This window comes from Homo sapiens, chromosome 2 (genome assembly GCF_000001405.40).
Source record: "Homo sapiens chromosome 2, GRCh38.p14 Primary Assembly".
NCBI lineage: Eukaryota > Metazoa > Chordata > Mammalia > Primates > Hominidae > Homo > Homo sapiens.
The window spans coordinates 176564976-176568265 of record NC_000002.12 but is presented as its reverse complement, the minus strand read 5'-3'; the positions used below and the strand labels follow the sequence as shown (position 1 = coordinate 176568265).

Genomic DNA, 3290 nt, shown 5'->3' with positions numbered 1-3290 from the left:
GAAAAAGTTGGTGTTAACTGAGACTGAAAACCTTGGGAACTGGGTATCATTAAACAAACAGACCAACAAAGCAATGAACTGATCTGCAGACACTGTTGAGCACCTCAGCATGTCAAGTGCTTTTTGGGCACTATTTCTTCTTATGTTCACAATTTTTATTGGCAACTATGTTATTCCCACTTTGTTTCTGAGGAAACTGGGGCTCAGATAATAACCAATTTGCTTATATTCACACAGATAAAATGTGACACAGTGATTGTTTGAACTCAGCTCTGTCTGGCTCCAAAGCCTATACTGTGTACCTATTCCAGAGGTTTTCAATTTGTGTTCTGAAGAATTCTGGAGATCCTCAGAGGGTCCCGGGGTTACTAGGAAGGGCATGAAGGAGATTGGGCCTTCGGCCCTCATCTTGGCTTCCTTTCTTAATATTTCCTTTGATGAAGGAATTCTAAGGGCAAAATCAGCATGTTCTACTCTATCTCAAAAGAAGAGAATGGCTTGCTTTAAGACATACTGAATTTGAGGGGCAAATGGGACAAATGGAGATGTCCAAATGTAAAATATAAAGAACTGATCTTAGGGATGAAGATATAGGTTCAGGAGCACGTGTGTGGAGGAGATCAGTGAAAGAGGCTGTCTAGTGCCATGCTGGTATTAGCTTTCAAATATTAGGAGTCACATTCTAGTGTGTCTAAGATGTGTGATCACATCCAACTGGCATGCGCAGGAAGGGCTAAAAGCTCCTACTTGCTTTGTAATGCTCTCTGCTTCTCTCTTCAATGTCCATACACCTCTGCTCCCACCAGCTTCATATCCAACTCATCAAGAGCACTTGTGTTTATTCCCAAACCAGTTTTTGTCAGTTCCATTTGTTTTGTAATTCATAATTTTGTTGAATATATAAATCAATGCAATATGAATGCAAAAGGAAATAAAGTGGTTTAAATGAAAATAAGTTGAATTGTTTGGAAACAATAAGGCAAGCTACTTTGCTTTGAGTAAATGAGGTAGGAATGAAACTGTTGTAATGTATCAGGGGCAGGACATTAAAAACTAGACAGATTCTGGGCTTCCCAAGTGTCTTTAAATTCTTACAGCACTAAGAAACTAAAATTGGAAGTTGCTGATGACACATTGTGGATGCAGCTTGTACAAGTAAGGTGACTTGGACTCCAAGCATCAGACCTTGGCCCTACCTCAAAAGCATGGGAGATAAATGTATATTTGTAAGTTTTAAATAAAAAGAAAATGTTTCCTGTTTTATATGTGTCACTTTTTATGATGCCACACTTCAAATGATGGCCCATCAGTGAAAAGAATGTGTTTCCTTCTCTTTCCTGTGGCCTCTGACTATTTTATATAAAATGAAATAGGGCATTAGAAACAACTCTCATAGGAGAATTTTCAATAGATTTTGCAAATAAAAAAATTCAAAAATTTTGCAATCCCCTAATTAATCTTTTATTAACCTACTACCACCAGTCTTGACTAAGTCAGATGAGAATGCAGTCATCACGTATTTCTAGTCTGTGGACAGAAAAGGGATTTTTACCACTTGAGCTTAAGTCCATCCCTTGATTCCTTCAATCCTTTGGTAAAACCAGCTAGAAAATTTGGCAAGGAACAGAAAATTGTTGAACTGGTTTGAAGCTTCCCAGGACTTGTAAATATGGGATGGAGGCAGAGGAGTGAGAGTTTAGCTTTTAAATAACTTAATTATCATTTACCTTTGTAAAATCATGTGAAAAAAAGTCTTCTTACTGTAAATATATGTAAGTAGTTGTGCCTATTACTAACAGGCATAATTCTGCCAATCGCCATTATGACATAAAATAAGGTTCCCAGCTAGCAGGAAATGGACTGTTGTGAAGGCATTTCTGTGTGTGCAAGGTCGGATTTTACTTTGCTGCCCCAGAGAAATACGAGGAGTTGGAGCACTCAGAAGGAGAGGCCACGCTGCTCCACCGCAACTGCTGCATTGTGACCCGGAAGCCCTGAGCGCCCAGCACCACGAGGCCTGTGTGTCTAATTGGCACTGCAGCCAGGAAAGCCTCCTCCCTCTGTGGGCCCCATGCAGGACTGCCAGAGTCAAAGAAGGGGGTTGGGGAGAATATGTTGCATGCGAGTGTGTGTGTGTGTGTGTGGGTGGGTGTGTGTGCGCGCGCGTGTGTATGTGCATGTGTGTTGTGTGCGATCACCTGCTTCCCTTCCCTTGTTGCCATGGGTTACGAAGCCCATAGCTGGAGAGCAGGGCCAAGCACTTGAGGTGGAAATAACTGCGTCAGCCTCTGAAAAAAGAAATTAGAAATAGGGAGCCTGGAAACAATGGCAAAAGAACAAAAATCAACATCCCAAGGCAGCCCGACTGTGAGCAAGGAAGCCAGGCAGCCAAAAGGAGGGCGGCTCTTCATAAATCTCACTTTCACCAGACATGTTGGTCTAAACAGTGATGACGAGAAAAGAATGAATGCAAATATCTACGGCAATCCTGTGTCTCCACCCGCTTGGCCTTAGGTCTATAATCCAACTTGGAGAAAAATAAACAAAGTCTGTGAAGAGTTAAGTCAACAGCTGTCAGGGAGTCCAGGACACACATGGCATTATAGAGTACCAGGAGCAGAGGGGAGAGGTGACACCACCAGGAAGGAGGCTGTGACCTTGGGGAGGCCACCATTTAATTGGGCATCTTGTGTCTGTAAGTCAGGCTTGTTGTGCACCCTGCACCCAAATCCTCATTACTCTTCTTATTTGATAGCCTATCAGTGAAAATAATGTGTTTCCTTCTCTGTCCTGTGGCCTCTGACTATTTTATATGAAATGAAATAGGGCATTAGAAATAGCTCTCATAGGAAAATTTTCAATAAATTTTGCAGATAAAAAAATTCAAAAATTTTGCAATCCTCTAATTTTGCAGATTAAAAAAAAAAGGTTCGGATAGGTAACCCAACTTGGTTTTTGTTTGTTTTGTTTTGTTTTGTTTTCAGAGAAAAATAGGAAAAAAAAGAAGACTTAAATGATGCAGTGTATGTTTACTTGTATCAGTCTCAGATTGGAATGCAAGGAGAGGATGATCCTGCATCTCTCCAGACTGAGCTGTCAGGAAAATAAAGAACTTGGATCCTTGCTTTTCTGATGGGCCACCACTGCCTTTGGATGGAAGGACAAAAGCTGCTTTCCAGGCTGGTAGGACATTGGGAGGCAGGGTAGGAAGGACATGGTGGTGGGGTGTGGTCTGCAAGCCTTTCGTGTCTTCCAGGAGCAATTTCTTCCTTCTTTGACCCCATCAAAGG

General features: G+C 41.6%; 1 annotated feature.

The window, feature by feature from the left end:
- Positions 2032-2532: an enhancer, noted in NCBI's record as "H3K4me1 hESC enhancer chr2:177430462-177430962 (GRCh37/hg19 assembly coordinates)". NCBI's record gives its function as "activates a minimal SCP1, AML or CMV promoter by ChIP-STARR-seq in naive H9 embryonic stem cells {active_cell/tissue: H9 hESC(naive)}" and the evidence as "EXISTENCE:reporter gene assay evidence [ECO:0000049][PMID:30033119]".